Here is a 24,093-nt window from a genome sequence, read left to right as displayed (position 1 = left end):
AAGAGATAAGTAGAAGACAAATAACACAGTCAGCAAGTGTCAAATGCTGGGGAAAAGTCACTGGTGGCCTTGGAAAGGTGCTAGCAGAGTGGAGAGGTTTGAAAGCTACAATAGTCTTAAAGGATGCGAAGTGAGGAAATGAAGCAGCAAGTGTAATCTTTCAAATAATCAGAATTATCTACTACTACTACTGCTACTACTATTACTACTACTGTAGATAGCATGATTCCTTCATTCATGAGGTAGAAGTGTTTGTTTTATGAAAATTTACTGTTTGAAAAACAAACATGATTCTAAGTTTACATCTGGAAGATATACCACAGGAAATGAGGCACAGACATGCCTGAAGACAATTATAGAGGAGATCCAAGAAACGGACCTCAAACTATGAATGGCCAGTGCTTTAACAAGGCCCATACCTGGTGCCTGGTTGCATGCCTGTTGTTGTCATCTTGCCTGTGAGACAGCATCCTTTCTTCTATCTGCTTATCCCGGCTCTGTGCTCTCACCTGCAACCATCAACAACGTCAATAAATCCACCTGCTTCTAAGACTACGTTTACTTAAAGCATAAGAATACAATGATAATGCCTTGGATTTATGTTGTACTTTACTTTCAAAGGGTCTTCACACTTATTGTCACAATCTCTACAAGAAAGAGATAATGCAAGATTCACATTCTGCCTTCTCAGCCAATAACAGGATCAGAGAAGTTGAAATGATCCAGCTAAATGATGGGATCACTAAGGTTTTAATCATGTCTGATGACTCTGAGCCTGGACTCTTCTCAAAGTACAATAAATAAATTAAAAAAGCATGAGGAAGTGCAAGAATAGAGTATGGAAGTACAAAGAAAACATTAGAAAACCTGGGTTTGGGCTGGGTGTGGTGCCTCACGCCTGTAATCCCAGCACTTTGGGAGGCTGAGGCGGGCAGATTAGCTAAGGTCAGGAGTTTGAGACCAGCCTGGCCAACATGGTGAAACCCCGTCTCTATTAAAAATACAAAAAATTAGCCAGGCATGGTGGCAGGCGCCTGTGATCCCCGCTACTCGGGAGGCTGAGGCAGGAGAACTGCTTGAACCCGGGAGGTAGAAGTTGCAGTGAGCCGAGATCGCACCACTGCACTCCAGCCTGGACAACAGAGTGAGACTCTGTCTTAAAAAAAAAAAAAAAGAAAGAAAGAAAGAAAGAAAGAAAACCTGGGCTTGGCCACATGCAGTGCCTTATATCTGTAATCCCAGCACTTTGGGAAGCCAAGGTGGGCAGATCACTTGAGGCCAGGAGTTCAAGACCAGCCTGGGCAACATGGTGAAACCCCGTCTTTACTAAAAATACAAAAACTAGCCAGGCGTGGTGGCGCACACCTGTAATCCCAGCTACTTGAGGCTGAGGCATGAGAATTGCTTGAATCTAGGAGGCTGAGACTGCAGTGAGCTGAGATTGCACCAATGCACTCCAGCCTGGGTGACAGAGCGAGACTGTCTCAAAAAAAAAAAAAAAAAAAAAGAAAACCTGGGTTCAAGTCTCCAGGGAAACTTAATTCTGTAGTTACATGACCTCAGACAAATCACATCAGCTCTCAACAGTTTCTGTTTCATAATCTGGGAATTGGGAACTGATATCCAACTGCTTATTCCACTTCACCACTAAAACTCAGAATGGTCAAAACAGAACGACTGGCATTTCTCCACAAATCTGCTCTACCCCAAATCTTCCCAGTATTAATAAATGGCAATACTGTCTAAATAGCTGATCCAGTCAACAACTTGAATGTTATCCTAGATTCTTCTCTTTTCTCACACCTCACATCAAATCAATCAGCAAGCCTAACGGGTTGCTCCCCTCTAAAACGTATCCTGAATCCAACCTAGTCTTAGAATTGCTGCCGATACAAAGCTAGTCCAGTCCACCAACTACTGCCTGAACTTCCATGCAGTTTCCCAAGCACCCTATACCCTGCATCAACTCTTGCCCCCACACTCCATTCTCCACGTTAACAAGTCTTCAGTTTTCAAAAGCGTGCCTGAAATCCTGTCATGCCTTTGTTAAAGCCCCCCAAATGCTTCTCATTCTATCAGAACAAAAATATACTCCTGTGCCAAGGTCCACAAGGTCCTTTATGATCTGGATCCAGCCATACACGGCCTACTTTCATTCAGCCTCTCAAACCCATCAGTTTAGCCGCGCCTCATGGCCTCTGCACTTGCTGTTGCTTCTACTTAAGATATCTTTTCTTCTAGATCTTTACACAACTGCTTCTTTGCCATCATTCACGTCCCAGATCAAATGCCATCTCCTCAGGAATGTCTTCCAGGACCATCCTGGGAAAAGCAGTGCTATCCCTACCCTCACCCCCGAAACAGACTCTCTCTATATCATTCGTCTTTTTTTCCTCACAATATTTATCACTACACAAAATTATTTACTTATTAATTTGAAGGTTTATGTTGCCTCCCCCTGTGAGAACATGAGCTCCTTAAATGCAGTCTTTTATTCACTGAATCCTCAGATACCTGTATTTGGCACATGCAGCTACAGAAATATATGACTGAATACAAATGTAACATCACTGATCGCAAGGGTGTCCTGGGAAACTCAAGAGCAATCATGTATATGCAGGTTCTTCAAAAACACTAGAGCTGTTAATAAATGTGGGGAATTTGTCTAATCTTTCCACTTAGGGTTCTAAATGTAATAAAAATATATCATCTCAGAAATTCTCCTGATCCTCCATGCACATGTTCCAGTAGTAAAGATGGATTATTCTGCGCCTAATGCCCCTTGCAAAGAAGAGAGAACAAAGAGGATAAATTCAAGATAGAAATGTTTTCCTTTGGTCAGAATTTTCTTCACCAAACTGAAATTTTTCTTTTTCTAAAATAAACTGCTTAACGTTACATGGTCATATTGCTACAAACTAACAATTTCAAAAGCAAAAGACATCTCAGGAAGATTTTTATGTAAAACCATCCATAGTATCAGATCATTGTATTTAGAGACAAGTGGTAGAGGACAACTCTCAAAAAGCAGGGATCGCAGTTATTTTCTGAGAAAGAAGTACCTGAAGCCTTTCCTGCTTCTGACATAGATGTGGGCACAGCTTTTTCTGTTTTGATTTAGTCCCAGAATAATGGGAGGACAATGGGAAGATCTACAACTCACTTTTACACAGAGCAGAAGGAATTGCCACTTATAAAATGATTTGGAATGAAGAAAAATAAGAGTAGGGTCATTGACCTTAAAATCCATATAAGCACGGAAAGTACACTACTTTGCTGAAAGACTAACCACACAAAAGAAACTTTCACCCCTGCGGTCTACCTGTAAATAAGAGAACAAATTCTGAATCAAGGAAAATTAATGTTAGCTAGGGAATCTAATTTTCCTCACAATGAAATTGGCTCAGACAGGAATAAACCTGTGACCCTGGTGTCACTAGCAAAGTAACAACAAAAACAACAATAATACTTTGGTCTAACCAGCTTAGATAACCTGTCCAATACTACTCAAGCAATCCATTTAATTAATAACATTTTCCACTCTTGCTTCCCCATAATTAGATCTTCGGTTCCATCCTTGGGAACAGCAACCCACACAAGAACGCACAAATGGGATCTGAGCTTCTACTTAAATACATTATCTCAAAATCCCAAAGGTTATTTAGGAGCTAGGTTTCAAGAATTTAAAAGATGAATTAGCCAAAAGTAGGTGTGACTGAGAGTAACAAAAAGTATTTCACAGAAATGGACAGAAAAAGGAACAAGAATTATGAAAGGTTTTTAAAAGCAAAATGACTTCATAGATTTATGAGAAGAGAACCGAATGCATAAATATTAAGATCACATATTTATGCAAGTTATTCCTTAGTGCAATAAGTCCCTAGCAGTCTTCGAAGCCAATTTTCAACAGAAAATATCAATGCACTAGTGGCTGATGTTCCAAACGTTTCATAATCTCCTTGTTAACTTCTCTCAAAGCACTCATTACATATTACAATTCTTTTGTCTGTTTAACTAGTTTTTTCTAAAAAAGCACATTGTTTTTTATGTTTCCTCCACTACAATGTAAGAACAAGGACCCTACCCATCTTGTTGGCCACTGTATCCCCAGTGTTCAGCAAAGTGCCTGGCAAACGGTAAGCACTCAATAAGCATGTGTTGAATAAATGAGAGCACAATTACCTTGCATTCGTCAGCTGAGAGGTTATGATACAGTGGGCATCCTGAGATGGAGAAATGTCTCTCATGTTTTCCTGTAAGGTGTCCTGTTAAAGGAGGGAAAACTTAATCTCAAGAAAGAAGACAAGCTTAGAAAGTAGTATGTTTCTCTAAGACAAACCTGTTTTTTTGCTACATCATTTTTATCAAATATATGTCTGATCAGACTGAATCCACCAAACATAAGGCTGGTAGGGCTATAACTTACACTCATTCTTTTCTTCCACAGGATGGATCTGGCAGTCTTTGAACATGCTTATGTATGATCAATATAAACTATAATTCTTTCTGCTCTTAGACTTCTCAAATCTCAAAATGTCACGAAGTCAACATTTGTAATTAAAGCCCAAGACTATGAACAGGAACACTTTCTTTTGGTGGAATGTAACTCTCCTATACTAAATTAATCAGGTTATATGTAGAATAAGTGTACTTTTCTTTCTACTGTGCAATGTTATCCAACCTGAATTTAACCCCTTTCAATACTCAAATTTATGAAAAATGGAGAAGCGGCCTTTTCTATCATATAAGTAAACATACTTACATAACTTTAAACCAGATTAAATACTTATTTTTTGGAGGGAGAACTGAGTTTTGCTTAAAGATTTAGGATTCTTCTATAATCAGATTTTTTTACTTTAAAAAATTTTTTTATGTCACCTAGGCTGGAATGCAGTGGTGCAACCATGGCTCAAAGCAGCCTTGAACTCCTGGGCTCAAGTGATCCTCCCACTTCAGCCTCCCAAGTAGCTGGGACTACAGGCTCACAACATCACGCTGGGCCCATTTTAAAATTTTTTGTAGAAACGGGTCTCAGTGTTGCCCAGGCTGGTCTTGAACTCCTGGACTCAAGCAATCTTCCTGCCTCCGCCTCCCAAAGTGCTAGGATTACAGGCATGAGCCACGCCTGAAACAGGCAGTAACACAAGGCCTTCTGAAGACGTAAAAATGTTAGGAATAACAAAACACGAAAGCTTGTTTTATTTAAATGGGTATCTCTTCATTCATGTATTTTTCTTTTTTTTTTTTTTGAGACGGAGTCTCGCTCTGTTGCCCAGACTGGAGTGCAGTGATGCGATCTCGGCTCACTGCAAGTTCCGCCTCCTGGGTTCACGCCATTCTCCCGCCTCAGCCTCCTGAGTAGCTGGGACTACAGGCGCCTGCCGCCACGCCCGGCTAATTTTTTGTATTTTTAGTAGAGATGGGGTTTCACCATGTTAGCCAGGATGGTCTCGATCTCCTGACCTCGTGATCTGCCCGCCTCAGCCTCCCAAAGTGCTGGGATTACAGGCGTGAGCCACCGCGCCCGGCCCATTCATCTATTTTTCATTTGGTTTTTTTGAAAACACACAGGGAATTGAACATTATTTCCTTTTTATATATTTCTCTTCAACCAAAAGGTTTATAAAACACCTAAGATTGAAAGGGGTCATAGGACAATGCTAATGAGATAAAAAGTTAGCTAACCTGAATAGCAAGTCTACAAAAATCTTCATCTTTCATAAAAAAAAAAAAAAAAGACATTTAATTTGGGGTAAAGAAGAAAGTGGAGTTTAAAGCTTACACAACATAATTTATAGAATAAACTTTAAAAGGAAAAAACAGTCCAAGTACTGGTGAATGGGTGATTTTAGGACATTCAGGCCATCATTTCTCCGGGACTGTATTATTAAAAATGCAATTTTAGGCCGGGCGCAGTGGCTCACACTTGTAATCACAGCACTTTGGGAGGGCGAGGCAGGCGGATCACGAGGTCAGGAGATCGAGACCATTCTGGCTAACACGGTGAAACCCCGTCTCTACTAAAAATACAAAAAATTAGCCGGGTGTGGTGGCGGGTGCCTGTAGTCCCAGCTACTCGGGAGGCTGAGGCAGGAGAATGGTGTGAACCCGGGAGGCGGAGCTTGCGGTGAGCCGAGATTGCACCACTGCACTCCTGCCTGGGTGACAAAGCGAGACTCCATCTCAAAAAAATAAAATAAAATAAATAAATTTTAAAAATGCAATTTTAGGGCCAGGCACGGTGGCTCACACCTGTAATCCTAGCACTTTGGGAGGCCGAGGCAGGTAGATCACCTGAGGTCAGCCTGGCCAACATGGTGAGACTCCATCTCTACTTAAAAAAATATAAAAATTAGACCAGCATGGTGATGCATGCCTGTAATCCCAGCTACTCAGGAGGCTGAGGCAGGCAAATCGCTTGAACCTGGGAGGCAGAGGCTATAGTGAGCCAAGATCACATCATTGCACTCCAGCCTGGGCAACAGAGCAAGATTCCGTCTCAGAAAAAAAAAAAATGCAATTTTAGAGGTCCGCAAAATTATCTTGAACACGAAAAACCATCCTCACTGATCAAATACCATACATACAATGTAGCATCAGCTGGGCTCAGTGGCTCACACCTGTAATCCCAGCACTTTGGGAGGCCAACACAGGAGGACTATGTGATTCCAAGAGCTTGAGGCCAGCCTGGGTGACATACATAGTGAGACTCCATTTCTACAAAAAGAAAAATAATTAGCCAGGCACGGTAGTCCATGCCCGTAGTCCTGGCTACTCAGAAGGCTGAGGTGCCAGGATCACTTAAGCCCAGGAAGTCAAGGCTGCAGTGAGTCATGGTCACACCACCATACTCCAGCCTAGGTGACAGAGAGACCCTGTCTCAAAAAAAGTAATGTCATTAATACTGCAAGACTTGCTTTTCAGATACTATGTATCCATACGTCTTTTTTTTTTTTTTGAGATGGAGTTTCACTCCTTTTGTTGCCCAGGCTGGAGTGCAATGGCCAATCTCAGCTCACTGCAACCACCACCTCCCAAGGTTCAAGCAATTCTCCTGCCTCAGCCTCCCCAGTAGCTGGGATTACAAGCGCCGCCACCACGCCTGGCTAATTTTGTATTTTTAATAGAGATGGGGTTTCACCATCTTGGCCAGGTTGGTCTCGAATTCCTGACCTCAGGTGATCTGCCCACCTCGGCCTCCCAAAGTACTGGGATTACATGCATGAGCCACCGCACCCAGGCATATCCATACTTCTTAGTAATTTATTCAGGGCATGTTTTCTTTTATATGTTAAATAAAACCAATCTATTATCTACAGTAAAAAAGGAACAGCTGATCTATTGACCTAAAAATTCCACTGCTCTGAATTTATCCTACAGATTTGCTAGAAAGACACCAAAATATGTACATACAAGGCTACCCATTACAATATTGTTCAAAAAAGCTAAAAATGAGAAACAATCTAAATGTCAATGAGACAATTTAAATAATTTATAAACTATCAATATAATGAAATTCTCTGTATCTTTTAAAAAGACAAGCCTCTAAATACAAATATCCAAGATGTACAACGAACAAATGTATCCTATTTTCCGTTTTATGAATAATCACAAAAAGGAAATATGTGTACATATACGTGTGCTTATATATGTAGAAAAACTTCTTGGAAGCATTCATAGAAAACTGCAAACAGAAGTTTTGTATCTGTGGCACAGTTCTGCGGGTATGAGTTAAGGGCAATTTTTACTTAATGCACTTCAAACTTTCCTATAGAGTTTTAATTTTTCACAAGTACATAAAACTCTTAAGGAATAGACTAGGGTCAAGAATATTTTGGGGCCCGGTGCAGTGGCTCACGCCTGTAATCCCAACACTTTGGGAGGCTGAGGTGGGAGGGTCACTTGAGCCCAGGAGTTCAAGACCAGCCTGGGCAACATGGTGAAACCCTGTCTCTACAATAAATACAAATATTAGCTGAGCATGGTGGCATGTGCCTGTAGTCCCAGCTACTTGGGAGGCTGAGGTTGGAGGATCAATTAAGCCTGGGAGGTGGAGGTTGCAGTGAGCTGAGATTGCACCACTGCACTCCAGCCTAGGTGACAGAGTGAGACTCTGCCTCAAAAAAAAAGGATACTTTGGAAGCTCGGGTTCATATTTTTCAAAGTTCCAATACATTAAAACCAAAGTCAAAGTAAACTTTTTCACTTGAGCCCAAGAGTTTGAGACCAGCCTAGCCAACATGACAAAGCCCTGTCTCTACTAAAAAATACAAAAATTAGCCAGGCGTGGTGGCACATGCCTGTAATCCCCAGCTACTCAGGCAGCTGACGCATGAGAATCACTTGAGCCCGGGAGGCGGAAGTTGCAGTGAGTGACCACGCCACTGTACTCCAGCCTGGTAATTATAGAGTGAGACTCTGTCTCCAAAATAAATAAATAAACAAATACAAGTAAACTTTCCTCTAATACAACATATTTTTTATTTACCCTATGGTCTACCCCATTAAGAGGTTAACTCCTGGGCATAAATAACACAATCAGGCCCCATTCTGACCTATCTCCTCCTCTCCGTTCTGGTCATTCTGCCCCAGGTATATTGGCCTCTAAGTGTTCCTCAAACTGGTTAACTATTCTCTTGCCCAGAGCACTTGCTGTTCTCCTTACCCATAATGCTTATTCTCAAATATTCCAACAGCAAGTCTCCGCTCAAATGTGACCATATCACAGCAGCTTTTCCTAGCCAACTACATATATATGTCACATATACATACACATATGTATGTATATACACACACAATATCCTACCCTCAGTACTCCCAGTTTCATTTTCCTTCACAGCATTTATCTCCAGTTGATATATTACACGTCTATCTATTTGCCTTTCTCAGCTAGACTATAAGCTCCATGAGGGCAGAGACTTTGACTTGTTCATAGCTACATCCTCATAACTTAAAACAGTATCTGGCACATGACCAATATTCAGTAAATATTTGCTGCATGAATGACCAAATATAGTACATAAAATTAACAATTTAGCAATGCATGGTTAGTAACAAGCAGAAGCAGAGGAAAATTCCTTTTCTTGATGCATGGCAAGCAGATCCCCTTAAACTCTTAAAGCACATTAGCCATCATATCATCTACTAGTGTAATATATTGTCTTTCTTAGTTTTTCTCATTATTTATTCCAAGGAAATCAATGCAGGCCTGAAACAATTATCTTCGAGTGACAACTGGTATGGAGTTCAAGACAACTTTGCTGTATTTATTCCGATGGTTTGAAATTATCTGAGAAACTGCTGTAAGACCAGGAAATGGCCAGGCGTGGTGGCTCATGCCTGTAATCCCAGCACTTTGGGAGGCCAAGGCGGGCGGATCACGAGGTCAGGAGATCGAGACCATCCTGGCTAACACGGTGAATCCCCATCTCTACTAAAAATATAAAAAATTAGCCGGGCATGGTGGCAGGCGCCTGTAGTCCCAGCTACTCGAGAGGCTGAGGCAGGAGAATGGTGTGAACCCGGGAGGCGGAGCTTGCAGTGAGCCGAGATCGCGCCACTGCACTCCAGCCTGGGGGACAGAGCGAGACTCAGTCTCAAAAAAAAAAAAAAAAAAAGGCCAGGAAACAATCCAAATTAATTAAACACTACAGAAAACCACTGGGCATGGTGGCTCACGCTTGTAGTCCCAGCTACTCAGCAGGCTGAGTGGGGAGGATTGCTTGAGCCCAGGAGTTGAAGACCAACCTGAACAACACAGCAAAAACCTCATTACTAAAAAACAAGAAAAAAAAAAAAAAGCCAAGCTTGAAAGCCACGTGCCTGTAGTCCCAGCTACTTGGGAGGCTGAGATGGGAGGATCACTTAAGCCTAGGAGTTAAGGCTGCAGTGAGCTATGATCATGCCACTGCACCTCTGCCTGGGCAATAAAGTGAGACCCCTGTCTCTCTATAAAAACAAACAAAAGGCTCATGCCTGTAATCCCAGCACTCTGGGAGGCCAAGGCGTGCAGATCATGAGGTCAGGAGTTCGAGACCAGCCTGACCAACATGGCGAAACCCCATCTCTACTAAAAATACAAAAGTTAGGTGTGGTTGTGGGCATCTGTAATCCCAACTACTCAGGAGGTTGAAGCAGGAGAATCGCTTGAACCTGGGAGGCGGAGGTTGCAGTGAGCCGAGATCACACCACTGCACTCCAGCCTGGGCAATAGAGCAAGACTCCATCTCAAAAACAAACAAACAAACAAAACACACTACAGGAAGTGTACTGTTGGCCTGCCAAGCAGCAATTTACTCTGTTCTACGGTTTTTCAAACTTGATAGCCACATGCAAAGGGTGAATTTGAGAAGTAGACCCAGTAGTGAAAGGCCCCTTACCTCCCAATCAGCATCTTCCAACTCTAGACAAAACCTTAAGCCCAATATTTGCACCTCAGCTCACTGAAGGTGCACAAATAAGGTTCAAACCACAAGAATCTCTAAAGTAATTCACTAAGGGGTAAAACTCATAAGAATATAATAAGATACTTATTTATCACAGAAGAAATATTTTATCTTGTTCATACTTACTAAGTACACAAAGCAAGGAACCTAAGCTACTAAAGTTACAGAAGGCCAGGGTCTCATGTGTACTCCTAATTTCACAGCCTCTTGACAGGAAATGTTTTTCTCATTTCCTTAACAGCTATGGCCGTGCAACCACTATTCTGCACTACCTTATCCTTAACTAGTCCTCACTGAGTACGAGCTATGTGCCATGCAGTAAGATATCTGCAGATAGTCTTTTTTGCTTTTGCTAGGAAAATGAGGGAATTTTTCACTGGGAAAAGCTCTAGGATAAACTGAATGGCTCATCATAGTTAATTTCCTTACAACCAGATCTATTATTATGGACCATCGGCCAAGAAGATAAATGCTTTTATTCAAGTGAGCAACTCATTATCACTCAGCACATGACCACTGAAGAGCCTAAGAAGCTAAATCCCAACAGAACACAAAACATTTCTGGATGATCCTGGGAGAGAGAACCACAGAACAAAGGATGTCATGAAGCTAGGGCACACTGACCTAGAGAGTTACAGCCTGGTGTAGGACACTTCATATTGAAGTTGTAGCTTTCATGGAAGCGACGGCGCTTGGGGCGATGAGAGAGATCACTGCCTGAGTCCTTCAGGGACATGTCCTTGGCAATGCTCTCATCGTGAGATACATTGGGGCTGGAGATGTCTATGTCAGACTCAGAAGAAGGCGCATTTCCAGTTGGAGTTCGAGGCGGTGACTCATCATGATCAGCTGTATTTTTAGTTTCTAAAGCAAAAGCAATTGGTAGAAGTTATGAGTGGAGTTCATTTATTTAGAAGTTTACTATTCAGAGTTTATGGGCTTCCCAGGTTCTTTTTCTATGATTTAACCAGTAACTTTCAGCTATTCATCTGCTAGATGGCTAAATGGAAAATGAAGAGGCACTTCTACACCATCCATTTTGTGCAACTTTAAATTCTGATTAAAATTAAATTTGTACTTCATCTATTACACCTATCTGTATTTCTCCTGAGTTGCTAATCATGGATAATCAAAACTAGATGGAAATACGTTTTTAAAACATTACTATCCCACTTCCCTTCCAGGAGATACACAGGACAGAAGATAAGTGACAGTGATTATCTTTCTGGATGACACTGAACAGGCTTGGTGTAAGATGTGAATGGACTTAGAGTCTTGAGTGAGCCTGTTTGTAGTCTAACAATTCAATCTTGAAATTCCAGACTCTAAATCAGGAATTGCAAACCAAATGCCTACAGGGGCTCAGCAAGGCCAAAGAGACAGCTCATTGTCCATCTAAAGGGGACAACTACTATTCAACTCCAGCCAATTATTACTATGGGTGATTGGCCGCCCAGTGTTCCCAGATCTTTTCATTGTTTAAAATAAACTATTAATCCAGGTTTTTATATGAAATCATTGTGTTTTCAAATACTAGCAACAAATTTAAAAAATTTTAAACACTGTGCAAGCAAACCAACCAACCATGCGGACAGCTAGAAGTAGTTCACCAGTCTGTGACCTCTGCATTAAGAAATTTGGAGATAAATGGACTGAGAAGTATGGCTATAAGAAAAGTCTGCTTCAAGCCCTTTTCAAATGTGGTTAAGAAGGGCCCAGTCTCTTTTTCCTATTACAGGTACGATTTAATATACTCCAGCTACTCTGGACCTTGAGAATATTCTGATATCAAACTGTCCTCAGCAATGTATAAGAAAGGAGGCTGGGCATGGTGGCTTATACCTGTAATCCCAGCACTTTGGGAGGCTGAGGCGGGTGGATCACGAGGTCAGGAGATCGAGACCATCCTGACTAACACAGTGAAACCCCGTCTCTACTAAAAATACAAAAAATTAGCCTGGCGTGGTGGCAGGCGCCTGTAGTCCCAGCTACTCAGGAGGCTGAGGCAGGAGAATGGCGTGAACCCGGGAGGCAGAGCTTGCAGTGAGCCAAGATTGCACCACTGCACTCCAGCCTGGGCAATAGAGCGAGACTCCGTCTCAAAAAAAAAAAAAAAGACATAAGAAAGGAAGCAAGCAAACAGCATTCATCTAGCTGAAGTATTAGGCATCTACCTGCAGTGGCCCCAAGCCCTCCTTAAAAAGAATTTCACCCAGATGCTCTGTAATAGGTCTAAGTCATACCATACCCACTCACCTCTATCTGAAAAATCAACCACTTGCTCAGTTTCTGAACCAGATGAACGAGTCTGCCGAAGAGGGTATTTTTTCGGTGTCACTGGGGTAGGCTGCTGCTGACTACGGGTCACTCTTCTGGTAGAGTAAGCAGGCTCCTCAGTGCCAAAAGACTGCAGATTTCGAACAGGACTGGAATCTGATCCCAATTTTAAAAGAAAATAAAGAAAAAAGATGGAAATCTGTTTTACTTCCTATCCATATAATTTATCAGAATATCGCTCCTCCTCCTCTTCATATTTCACAAAATCCAACAAATCCTTAAAATATCTATTTAATTAAATAAAATATAAGCAAAAGAGCCTAGCTCAGGTATACAGATGTAATGTAGTACAGCATTAATAAGTTTAGGTTCTGGAATTAGGACTGAACTTGATTCAACTCCACTCCACCATACCAACTAGCTGTGGCATCTTGGGCAAGTTATTTTCTCCAAGCCTGTTTCCTGACCTATTGAAAAGGAAAATACTAGTAGCACATTCCTCATAACACTGTGGTGAGGAATAGGTGAGATAATGCATGTGAAGCACTTAACATGATCCGTGGTACAGAGTGCTTTATAAATATTAACTGCATCCTCTCATTCTTCCCTTTTTCTAACCCACCATAAAACAGATATTCTATTACCAAAGATATAACAACAAACAAAACGATTTCCTTTCTTAAGGGGCCGATTTTTTTTTCTTTCTTATTACCCTCTCTGGCACTGTCATAATAGATTCATAAAGGTAAAGCAGGAATGCAGCATTTTAAGTTTTTTGGATAGAAAAACCTATTCTGAGGCACTCAGCAGCCCTTTTATATCTCCAACCTGAGGACAAAGGAAATGAAGGAAAATTCAAAGCTGAAATTAAAGCATTTTTAAAAAATATATGTAGATATGTTTTAGTTTTTTTGTGCTTTTTTTTTTATAAAGAGACATGTTTAATCATAGCTTGCTCTTCACAGAGATGACTACAGAGACTTTTAATCTATAATCCAGGAGTATATAACCATGCAGTACAGACCAATTAGCCAAATGTAAAATAAACTAGATTCTTACCACAACTGCCCTATAAACATTGCAACTATTCTTTGCAAAAGGACCCTACATCTTATGTGAAAACACCTAGTGTAGGGGAACCAGAAACCTAGCTATGTGGCCAAAAGTAAAAACCAAAGGAAAAAATAACAATTCAGTGGTTAATTGGTGAAAGCAGGAAATTTGTGCCCTTTACTGTGCTGCTGCTTTGGTCTTCTTACTTTTGTTCTTTTTGTCCCTTTTCTTCAGCCCATCCATGTTAGCACTCGGTAGGTTTGAATAAGCCATCTGAAACTTATTCACTTGGTTGGAGCTCACCACAGTGCTGACCTTCTTTTTCCCATCGATAGCTCTTAACAGACACTTGTCTGAGGGCTCAAAGCCCTCCACAGAACCTTTCTTTGGAACGGGTTTGGTTCCACCACCATACTTCTTCAAGGTGATATAGATGCTGCCCGATGTCCAGCACTTCTGGAAAAGTCTGGTCAGCTCCGTCAGGAACTGCTCACTCTCCAACAACACCATCGTGGTGATGCTGGCTCAATTCCCTCCGTGTAAGCCCCTAGCAGTCTTAGTTTTGTTTTAATTGACATGTAAGTGTACATATTTATAGAGTATACTGTGATGTTCTGATAGACGTATACATTGTGTAATGATGAAATCAAAATAATTAGCATATCCATATCTCAAACACTTGTCATTTCTTTGTGGTGAGAACAGTCAAAATCCTCTCTAAAGTATATTTTATTTTAATTAATTAATTTTTTTTTCAGAGGGCGGGATGCACAGGCCAGGGCGCGGTGTCAGCCTCACTCTCTCACGGCTGCACCCCCCAACGTATATTTAAAAAAAAAAAAAATCTGAAGAAATCTTATAGATTCTCTAAAGAAGAAAACTGAAAATTTCCAAACTTTCGGGTGAGAAAAGTTAGCACAGAGCAAGGTTATCCATTTGTACATCTCCAAGGGGCCTCCTTTCACAATATGATCTACCTTGTGCTCTAGGGAGGACCACCTTACATTGCTGACATTGTAAATGGTACCCCTGGAGTTGTGCAACTCTGTGGTCATGAGGTATGATAACCAGAAAGAGACTCAGTGCTTACGCATTTCCTAGCTGTTTTGAATATTTAGTTTTCAGGTGTCTAGGGCATGGTCAATTATACTTCCTACAAACATTATGTCTTTTCCTTAGCATATGCTGTTCCATCTGCCGAGAATAACATATTCCCATCTTTCAACTTGTAAATTCCTATCAGAGCCTTTAAGACATCTCAGTGTGCAGCTGGGCACGGCGGCTCACGCCTGTAATCCCAGCACTTTGGGAGGCCGAGGCGGGCAGATCACTTGAGATCAGGAGTTTAAGACAAGCCTGGACAACACGGTGAAACCCTGTCTCTACTAAAAATACAAAAAATAGCCAGGTATGGTGGTGCTCGCCTGTAATCCCAGCTACTTGGGAGGCTGGGGCAGGAGAATTCCTTGAACCCAGGAGGCGGAAGCTGCAGTGAACCAAGATCATGCCACTGCACTCCAGCCTGGGCGACAGAGCGAGATTCTGTCTCAACAACAACAAAAAAGACTTCATCATTGTGGGAGTGCTGCCCTAAGTTGGCTGTCCCACCTCTGGGCTTATGTAGTACTCTATGCAAACCCCTCTCACAGCCCTTGCCATAATGTATTCCCATGATCAATTTTCATATCTGTATCTTGCACTGAACTGTAAGATCTTTGAGGACAGGAACTATGATTTTTCTATCATGGTTCCTAGTACATAACATACTGCTTGAGTTATAGTAGCTATTTATCCATAGTCTCATTGTGGTAAAAATTTAAAGCTTAAGAAATCAAGAGACAATAGCAATACTTTAGCTGAAATCCTAAATTCAAAAATAAAGTTAGGAACAGTTGTTAAAGAGGATATTCCCACTTTCTTGCTTGAAAAACTGATGGTTTTTCTCTCATTGTGCAACATACTCATATAAAAGTGACCAAAGCAGCAGGGCGCGGTGGCTCATGCCTATAATCCAAGCACTTTGGGAGGCCAAGGCAGGCAGACCATGAGGTCAAGAGATTGAGACTATCCTGGCCAACATGGTGAAACCCCATCTCTACTAAAAATACAAAAATTAGCTGGGCACGGTGGCGTGCACCTGTAGTCCCAGCTACTTGCAGGCTGAGGCAGGAGAATTGCTTGAACCCAGGAGGCGGAAGTTGCAGTGAACCAAGATCATGCCACTGCACTCCGCCTGGCAACAGAGCTAGACTCCATCTCAAAAAAAAAAAAAAAAAAAATTAACCAAAGCAACACTGTTGAAGTGCTCAAAACATGTTAAAGTTTTTTTCCCTTCATCTATTATCACCTGTTGATCATCGGCTTTCTGTATTAGCTGCAACCTTCTTTCCTCCTCAGGGAATACCAGAGCAGAGCCAGGAGGGTCAAGGGTACCCTCCAAATCTAACCCCAGATGCCTAAATGCACTAGAGATAGTTCAAACTACCTTCCAACCCCAAGATTCTCAATTCCTTATTACCAAAGCAAAATTCCATTATTTCCACACTGATATTTTGGTACAACTATTAATATCTATCAAGTGTTTATTGGATTACATTCCAGAGTTAAACATGGTTTTAGAAGTGGGCCTCTGCCAAGAGTAAGTCCAAGAGACTACAGATGCTCCTTGACTTGTAATGGGGTTAAGTCTCAATAAAACTATCATAAGTTGAAAGTATTATAAGTTAAAAATGCATTTACAGGCTGAACATGGTGGCTCACATCTATAACCCCAGTACTTTGGGAGGCCAAGGTGGAAGGACTGCTTGAGTCCAGGAGTTTGAGACCAGCCTAGACAACATAATAAGACCTCATCTCTACAAAAAACAAAGAAAACTAGCTAGGCATGGTGGCGTGCACCTGTAGTCCCAGCTACTCAGGAGGCTGAGGTGGGAGGATCACTTGAGCCAAGGAGGTCAAGGCTGCAGTGAGCCAAGATCACACCACTGCACTCCAACCTGTGCAACAGAGCACAAGACCCTGTCTCCAGAAAATAAAAAAAACCGCTATACACCTAACCTACCGAGCATCATAGCTTAGCCTAGCCTACTTTAAATAGGCTCAAACCACTTACATTAGCCTACAATTGTGCACAATCATCTAACACAAAGCCTATTTTTAATAAAGTGTTGAATATTGCATATAATTTATTAAAGACAGTACACTGAAGAGTACTGGTTTACCCTCATGATCAAATGGCTGACTGGGAGTTACGGCTCACTGACTGGAGTTATTATGGCTCATTGCCACCACTCAGCAACATGAGAAAATATTTGGCCCACATATCACTGGCCCAGGAAAAGACCGAAATTCAAAATTCTAAAAGTTTCCACTGAATGCATATTGTTTTAGCACCACTGTAAAGTTAAAAAAAAAAATTAAATCAAGCCACCATAAATCAGATACCATCTGGACTTCAAGTCCCTAAGCCTCAAACATTCAAACAGAAAGTGAAGGGATAACATTCCAATTTTACTGATGGAGACACTGCGATCTAAAAAAACAAACAAACAAACAAACAAATGACTCAAGACATACGTGTGTCTCTATCCATTATACCATCCGCAGTTCCTTTGGGTCTACAGATTGGATAGTAGCCCCCCACAGAGGCATTGTTAAAGACCTGACAACTCTGCATTCACTCTACATTTTACCAATCATCTGGTGCACTGTCATCTACACCAAGCCAAGGGGCCAGTTTCCACATTAACTAGGAAAATAATGTGATGGGCCAGTCAGCCAGATGTGAGGAGTGGTAAGGAAAAATGAAGGTTTTTTTACCTTGAGAACTCTGGCTTAGCCTGGCTGAGGAGCGGGTGACTCGAGCAGATCGTCGGGATGTGCCATCACTTTCTGAACTGTCTGTGTGCTCGAGATCTGTAGAAAAATCGGAATCTTCGGTTCCATCTGAACTACTGCCTGCATTCCTCTGTAATACCATAGATCCAGATATTAGCACAGAAGCATTTGGTCTGAGAGTTTGCATTAACATTGAAAATAAAACAAGCTGTGACACTGAAAACCCCAAGTTCAAACCTAAATAAGGATTCCACAAGCATTTCTCATCCTCCCACCCCCTCAGGCAACTTCACTTTATTTAGAACACTTAAATGGAACAACCTACAAATAGGGAATTTTGTTAAATAAATGAAGAGCTTCCGTTTCATTCGCTCTCATTGCCCAGGCTGGAGTGCAAGGGCGCAATCGTGGCTCACTGCAACCTCCGCCTCCCGGGTTCAAGTGATTCTCCTGCCTCAGCCTCCCGAGTAGCTGGGACTACAGGCGCCCGCCACCATGCCCAGCTAATTTTTGTATTTTTAGTAGAGACGGGGTTTCACTATGTTGGCCAGGCTGGTCTTGAACACCTGACCTCAGGTGATCCACCCGCCTTGGCCTCCCAAAGTGCTGGGATTACAGACGTGAGCCACCACACCCGGCCATGAAGAGAATTAATTCTTACTGTATTAGTACTAAGTATTAACCAAGACCATTTGGAGATCAATATCACAAAAAAAGGTCCACTGTAGTGAGAAAATCGTTGGTGCTGGACCTCATTTAACTTAGAGTAGCTTTTGTTCAATGTCTCCATGAAAAGCTATCACATTTTTTAAAAACCATACACTATCTCAAAATATCATGGACCACAACTCTAATCCCAAAAGAATTTAAGCAGAAAAAGATGAAAATTGTTAGTGCGTATGCCATCTATCCTTGACGTTTCTCCACATGAAAGCCATCTATCTTCCAAAAAGGCAGCTTGCACATGAAGACTCATGGGTATTCAAAAACAGTTGTTTTCAAAACCATCTTTTCAATGAGCAAGGATTTGTCAATTATTATCCTCCTGAGGAGTTCTTTCTTAGCCATAAAGATAACTTTTATCAATTAAGCACTAACACTATACCCTTTACAAAACCAGAAAGGAAAAAATATTTACTGAAAACAATACAAAGATTCACACTGTAAGTCCCAATTATTTATTCAAAACCCTGAGGGCCAGTTGTGTTTAGAATTTGTAATTGTTTTGGATTTTTAGAAGGGGAGTACTTTGCATGTATCCTGCAAATACCACCCAATAACAAAACATAATAGTATTTCTGCAGCAAAAAATATAAACAGTCACACTAAATGAGACACACAAAAACCATAAGTAGCCTCAGGACAGATTAAGACAGGTTTGCCGCCAAACAGGTTACTAAAAAAATGTACATTTTCAAGTAACTCCCGGTATTTGGGAAATTAAGAAAGAGGACTGTGGCCCTATTTCAAGGCACCAATATTATTCCTGCATTTGGTGAGCCTTTACATACATACCACCGGCCGGGCGTGGTGGCTCATGCCTGTAATCCCAGTACTTTGGGAGGCCGAGGCGGGTGGATCACCTGAGGTCAGGAGTTCGAAACCACCCTGACCAACATGGTGAAATCCCGTCTCTATTAAACATACAAAAATTAGCTGGGCGTCATGGAATCCGCCTGTAATCCCAGCTACTAGAGAGACTGAGGCAGGAGAATCGCTTGAACCCGGGAGGCGGAGGTTGCAGTGAGCCAACATCACGCCATCGCACTCCGACCTGGGCAACAAGAGCAAAACCTCGTCTCAAAAACAAACAAACAAAAAAACACATACATACCACCCACCAGCTGAGGTCATTTTAGGAGACATTAAAAAGTGTACATTTTCAACCTGAAAAGCCGCTGTGAAGAGAAAGATTTCTATTGATATGAGCAAGAATACCACCCAGTTTTCCAAGTATCTTAAGGGTAACCTGCCAGGAAATGAGCAAGAATCACAGAAAACGGCTGAAATGAAGGGGGAATCTTAAAAGTCACCATTATAGTCTAATTACCGAGATATTTAAAGCCTTGACGTGAGACTTATTCCTTCCTGGCTTGATCCTGGAACTCAGCTCTTCTCTGTGGCTTTTACCAATATATCTCCCATTGTACTCCAGGGCAGACTTAACTGCTCCTTCACTTCCTTCCAGCAACACCTTGTATACACCTCCAAGCTGAGAACTTACTAGATCCTTCTAAGATTATTCATGTCTGTTTTCTCCTATCGGGCTGTGACACCCTTAAGCCAGGGATCACATCTAATTAATTTCTGAATCCACAGCAACCACCGCGCAGAAAGTAGTCAATAGACATTTGTTGAATTGAGTTAGATTTGTTCTATATTCTGGATCTGCCACTGCCTGAGTGGCTTGCGGCACTCCATGGGCCTCCGTTAGTTCAGCTGTAAGAAGAAACGACGGGGCCATTCCTGGGTGATCTTCTAAGTGCCTTCTAATTCTAGAAGTTTTTAGTTTTTACCAACTGCATTTTCTAGGCGCTGTCGAACTAGCAAATAAGGAAAGAGGCAACTGGCCTGAGAGGGATCCCCTGCGAGTGGGCGCTGGCTTCCCACCACCCAGTCTTCTGCTTTGTTGTGCCCCTCACCTGGAAGGTAACGAGGCCTCCAAAACCCCGCCTCTGCACCTATCAGCGTCCCCGCTCGGAAAGGCGGGGATTCGGGCCACCCAATCGAGGTCCGCCTAAGCCGCGCCCCCACAGGACAGACTGCCAACCTCGACCAATCAGGAGAGGAGGGATCGTTCTCTCCAGCCAGTGGGAGAGCGCTGGGGCCGGGGCCAGACACCGCCCCCGCACGCGGGGAGGTGACCGTTGAGCCCAAACAGGCGGCGTCACCAGCCAATCAATATGCTTCCAGACGTTTCAGCGACCAATTAATAAGAACGCCTCCGATCCAGGCAAGCAGAGGGCGGGAATAGTTGCAAGCATAGGCCGAGGCCAGGGTCGGGCCCACATTTTTCTGTTGGGTATGGACAGAAGAGAGGGTAGCTGAACAAGGTTCGGGGGAGCGGAAAGTTGGGACCCAAGCACTGTGAGGCGTGGCCAACTGCGTCACGGTGCTCAATCGACTGTCCTTAGAAACCCGCCATCCCTCCTCTCCCGTTTCTCACCTTCCTTCGCGGCATTGCCGGCGGCTGCGGCCCGACGGTTCCGATTCGGGCAGCGGCGGCAGCAGCAGGAACGGTGGCTCCGGCGGGCTCCGTGGCGGCCTCTGTATCAGTCCCAATCCTGCGGACGATCCCTAGTGCCTCCTGCCTCTCAGCGTCTGGAGCGTTCTGCGCAGGCGCCGCGGGCTGAAGCGCTTTTTCCTTCACTTCCGGCTGGGTCTCGCGTCACCTGACGTTACGGGCCAGAGAGGGTGCTGGGAAGTTCGATCCTTTTGGTGAAGCTAGTGGGCGCCATTTTGAAGTTGGGCAGAAAGTGACTCCAGTGGTGGAACCCGGAGCCAACCATTTTTAGTTACGTGAGTGGCTCTGTTTGTGGGCGTGGGTAGCCATTCTTGTTTGGGGCAGAAGCCTGACAGTTGATGTAAACGGTTCTCATCTTTACCTTGGGCAAAATTTCGTTTTAATTTCTAGAGTCGAGGAAGGAAACCCCCCAGAATCCATCAGGTTGCTGAGATTAGATTTAACCCCTTCGTAGCCTGATTGTTTAAAGGACGTTTCCGTTTATTATATAAACTCAAAGTTGCGGAGGGATGTTTTGTAAAAGAAACTTTGTATTTTAAGAAACATCGTGGTCTCGAAGGGGTGGGAATGGGGAATTGAAAAAGGAACTAACGGATAGCGTCCGCCATCAAGTTTCCTGTCTGGTAGAGGAGACATTGTCCTTGCCCTTAGCTAACAGCAAGTGAGTTAGTTGATGTCGCGGGGAGGAGGCAAAACCATTCTCCAGAAGCTGCAGGTCAAATAATTCCCAATTTAGCTCTGTGGCGAGTGCCCACTTCCTAACCGCACTGTGTTTGGGTTTGAGACCACTGGGGGCCCTGGGGTGAAAAATGTGATTTGAAAGTGGGGAATGCAGTACCAGAGTCAGAAAAGCTTTGAACCCCATTTAGCTCAAATGACCTCTGGCATCCAGATGCTTGAGCAGAGAGTTACGAGGCGGAGGAAGAGGAAGGAATGTTTTTAGTGAAGTTGAAGCCCCCAAAAGAATGGACATTTAAATAATAATGAGAGGGCCTAGGAAGGAGAAGTTGGTCACAGATACTAGGCTGAAAGAAGAGCCTTAAGAAAAGGCTGGAAAGTGGAGAGCAGGCGTTGAGGATTTAACCTCTCCGGAGGAAAGGCCTTGAGAGGACCAAGTCTTGACCAATTGCGACTGGGTGGAACCCAGGCACGCTCAGTCATTAAGTTAGGATCCCGAACCCCAATTTCAAACTGAGGCCCCGTTAAGATGGAGATTTCCCCCAGGAGCAGGGCTAAAGAACAAAGAAGCAGAAGGTAAATATCTGATTGATGTGCTAAGTAAAGAACTCTAAAGATTTAAAGTTCCAGACCTTTAGCCAGCACTCTCCTTGGGGATGTCCTGGGCCAGTGTTGACACAGGCAGCTTTTAGTATTTAATACTTAGCTTTTAGTGCTTAGTATAAATACCTTTGATAACCTACTTAGGTTGAACTGCACGTAAGAACTTATTTGAAAATGGTTCACATTACTTCTCACCACTTAAGCATTTAATTTCATGTAGCCCCTCACCACTTAAGCATTTAATTTCATACATTACTCTGTTATTTTGCACTCACGGATATGTTCCTGAGGTTACATTTGAATGTTCTGGCTCCCCAACTGGTGGTAAGGATCTCTTACATTAAGAGCATATCTCAGTTATTTCATACCATCCTACTTTTTTTCTCTCTCTTCTTTTTTTTTCTTTCAAGACAGAGTCTTGCTGTGTTGCCCAGGCTGGAGTGCAATGGCTGGATGTCAGTTCACTGCAAGCTCCACCTCGTGGGCTCAAGGGATTCTCTTGCCTCAGCCTCCCGAGTAGCTGGGACTGCAGGCGTGTGCCACCACACCTGGCTAATTTTTGTATTTTTTGTAGAGACAGAGTTTCACCATGCTGCCCAGGCTGGTCTCGACCTACTGAGCTGAACTACTGTCTCGGCCTTCCAGAGTGCTGGGATTAAGGTGTGAGCCACCACTCCCAGCCATACCAGCCTTTCTTTTTTTTTTTTTTTTTCTGAGACAGGGTTTTGCTCTTGTTGCCAGGCTGGAGGGCAATGGCACGAGCTCGGCTCACCGCAGCCTCCGCCTCCCGGGTTCAGGCGATTCTCCTGCCTCAACCTCCCGAGTAGCTGAGATTACAGGCGCCCGCCACCACATGTGGCTACTTTTTGTATTTTTAGTAGAGACAGTGTTTCTCCATGTTGGTCAGGTTGGTCTTGAACTCCTGACCTCAGGTGATCCACCCGCCTCAGCCTCCCAAAGTGCTGGGATTACAGGTGTGAGCCACTGCGCCTGGCTCATACCATCCTTTCCAATGGTGCTCAAACCTCGTTCTTCCCACAGTAAATGCTTGCTACTCAGTAAGAATATCATTACTGTTTTACAGTCTCTGAATGTATAGCGCTCAGAGATGGTGAAGTTATCCTCCCTGGAAATTAGTGTTTTAGAATAAGATCTTATCCTGACTTGCATCCGTCACACAAATACCAGCATTACAGATGTTCGACGTTAGTTAATTTCTTATGCTAGATTCCCTAAGACTGCAGCTGACACTAAAGAGTTTACAGTTTCATTTAGATATGGTTCTTGTCCTTGGAAAGTGTACACTCTGGCAGAAAGATGAAAAAACTAACACCAGTAGGATAGAAACATGATCATAAGGAAAAAAATGTGTATAGTACTTGAAAGTAGACCAGCCAGGTATATTTAGAATGGGGAAGGGGAGGATCTTAAAAGCTTATTTCTTCTTCTTTTTTTAAAAAACCAAATATAATATTTACTTTGAGAGTCATGTTCATCACAACACAATTAGCTTTCCAAGCAGGAACTGATGTTGATTTCAATGCCTCTGACTGGTTGCCCCCTGGCTATCCTCAATCACCAGACTTCACGTTGACACTCTCGACAGTTCTCCTTGCCTTTCTATTTTCTCAGGCTTTTCTTCCTGCCTGGATGCATCTCCTAACCCTCAATAAAATTTTATTTTTTCAGAAAATCTTTTCCAATTCATTCTTTGTAAGGTAGTAGGGCGTAATGATATGTTATTTTGCACTTAACTGCTGGATTTGTTATTTTCCTTGTACAATTTGGTAGATAATTCTGTTCATTTCCCTTCCCAAACAGATAATAGAAACATAGATAAATCATGTTTATTGTATCATCAGCTGTACTAGTGTCCAGTACAGGGCTTTGATGTCAGATCTGAATTTTAATCTCCGCTCTGCTGCTTCCTACCTGCATTACTCTTGGACAAGTTTT

At 42.7% G+C, this 24,093-nt stretch overlaps 2 protein-coding genes and 1 pseudogene across 7 annotated transcripts in view, besides 6 other annotated features; 1 reads left to right on the top strand and 2 right to left on the bottom strand.

The window, feature by feature from the left end:
• Positions 1 to 20,947, bottom strand: part of KAT7 (lysine acetyltransferase 7) — a 46,346-nt gene extending 25,399 nt beyond the window's left edge. The window contains exons 1-6 of one of the 6 annotated variants that reach the window (NM_007067.5): positions 20,779 to 20,947; positions 17,595 to 17,742; positions 12,702 to 12,878; positions 11,070 to 11,309; positions 4,183 to 4,265; positions 420 to 509 (exon numbers count right to left, since the gene is read on the bottom strand). In NM_007067.5, the coding sequence (NP_008998.1) occupies positions 420 to 509; positions 4,183 to 4,265; positions 11,070 to 11,309; positions 12,702 to 12,878; positions 17,595 to 17,742; positions 20,779 to 20,793 (753 nt within the window). In that variant the 5' untranslated portion in view covers positions 20,794 to 20,947. The remainder of the gene's footprint in view (positions 1 to 419; positions 510 to 4,182; positions 4,266 to 11,069; positions 11,310 to 12,701; positions 12,879 to 17,594; positions 17,743 to 20,778) is intronic. The other 5 variants (NM_001199155.2, NM_001346706.2, NM_001199157.2 and 2 more) reach the window with 5 other exon arrangements.
• Positions 6,288 to 6,787: an enhancer, noted in NCBI's record as "H3K27ac hESC enhancer chr17:47880203-47880702 (GRCh37/hg19 assembly coordinates)". NCBI's record gives its function as "activates a minimal SCP1, AML or CMV promoter by ChIP-STARR-seq in naive H9 embryonic stem cells {active_cell/tissue: H9 hESC(naive)}" and the evidence as "EXISTENCE:reporter gene assay evidence [ECO:0000049][PMID:30033119]".
• Positions 6,788 to 7,289: an enhancer, noted in NCBI's record as "H3K27ac hESC enhancer chr17:47879701-47880202 (GRCh37/hg19 assembly coordinates)". NCBI's record gives its function as "activates a minimal SCP1, AML or CMV promoter by ChIP-STARR-seq in naive H9 embryonic stem cells {active_cell/tissue: H9 hESC(naive)}" and the evidence as "EXISTENCE:reporter gene assay evidence [ECO:0000049][PMID:30033119]".
• SRP14P3 (SRP14 pseudogene 3) lies at positions 13,959 to 14,285 on the bottom strand (annotated as a pseudogene).
• FAM117A (family with sequence similarity 117 member A) overlaps positions 20,518 to 24,093 on the top strand; it is a 78,779-nt gene continuing 75,203 nt past the window's right edge. The window contains exon 1 of the mRNA XM_047436858.1: positions 20,518 to 20,565. The gene's annotated coding sequence lies outside the window, so the exon portion shown is untranslated. The remainder of the gene's footprint in view (positions 20,566 to 24,093) is intronic.
• Positions 20,608 to 20,657: an enhancer, noted in NCBI's record as "active region_12372". NCBI's record gives its function as "activates an Ori minimal core promoter by ATAC-STARR-seq in GM12878 lymphoblastoid cells {active_cell/tissue: GM12878}" and the evidence as "EXISTENCE:reporter gene assay evidence [ECO:0000049][PMID:35858748]".
• Positions 20,878 to 21,177: an enhancer, noted in NCBI's record as "active region_12371". NCBI's record gives its function as "activates an Ori minimal core promoter by ATAC-STARR-seq in GM12878 lymphoblastoid cells {active_cell/tissue: GM12878}" and the evidence as "EXISTENCE:reporter gene assay evidence [ECO:0000049][PMID:35858748]".
• Positions 20,878 to 21,799: a biological region, named in NCBI's record as "NANOG-H3K27ac-H3K4me1 hESC enhancer GRCh37_chr17:47865191-47865964".
• Positions 21,026 to 21,799: an enhancer, noted in NCBI's record as "NANOG-H3K27ac-H3K4me1 hESC enhancer chr17:47865191-47865964 (GRCh37/hg19 assembly coordinates)". NCBI's record gives its function as "activates a minimal SCP1, AML or CMV promoter by ChIP-STARR-seq in naive H9 embryonic stem cells {active_cell/tissue: H9 hESC(naive)}" and the evidence as "EXISTENCE:reporter gene assay evidence [ECO:0000049][PMID:30033119]".

Source organism: Homo sapiens, chromosome 17, assembly GCF_000001405.40.
Source record: "Homo sapiens chromosome 17, GRCh38.p14 Primary Assembly".
Classification (NCBI taxonomy): domain Eukaryota; kingdom Metazoa; phylum Chordata; class Mammalia; order Primates; family Hominidae; genus Homo; species Homo sapiens.
Note: the sequence above shows the minus strand (reverse complement) of the source record. Positions and strands in the feature narration are given on the sequence as shown.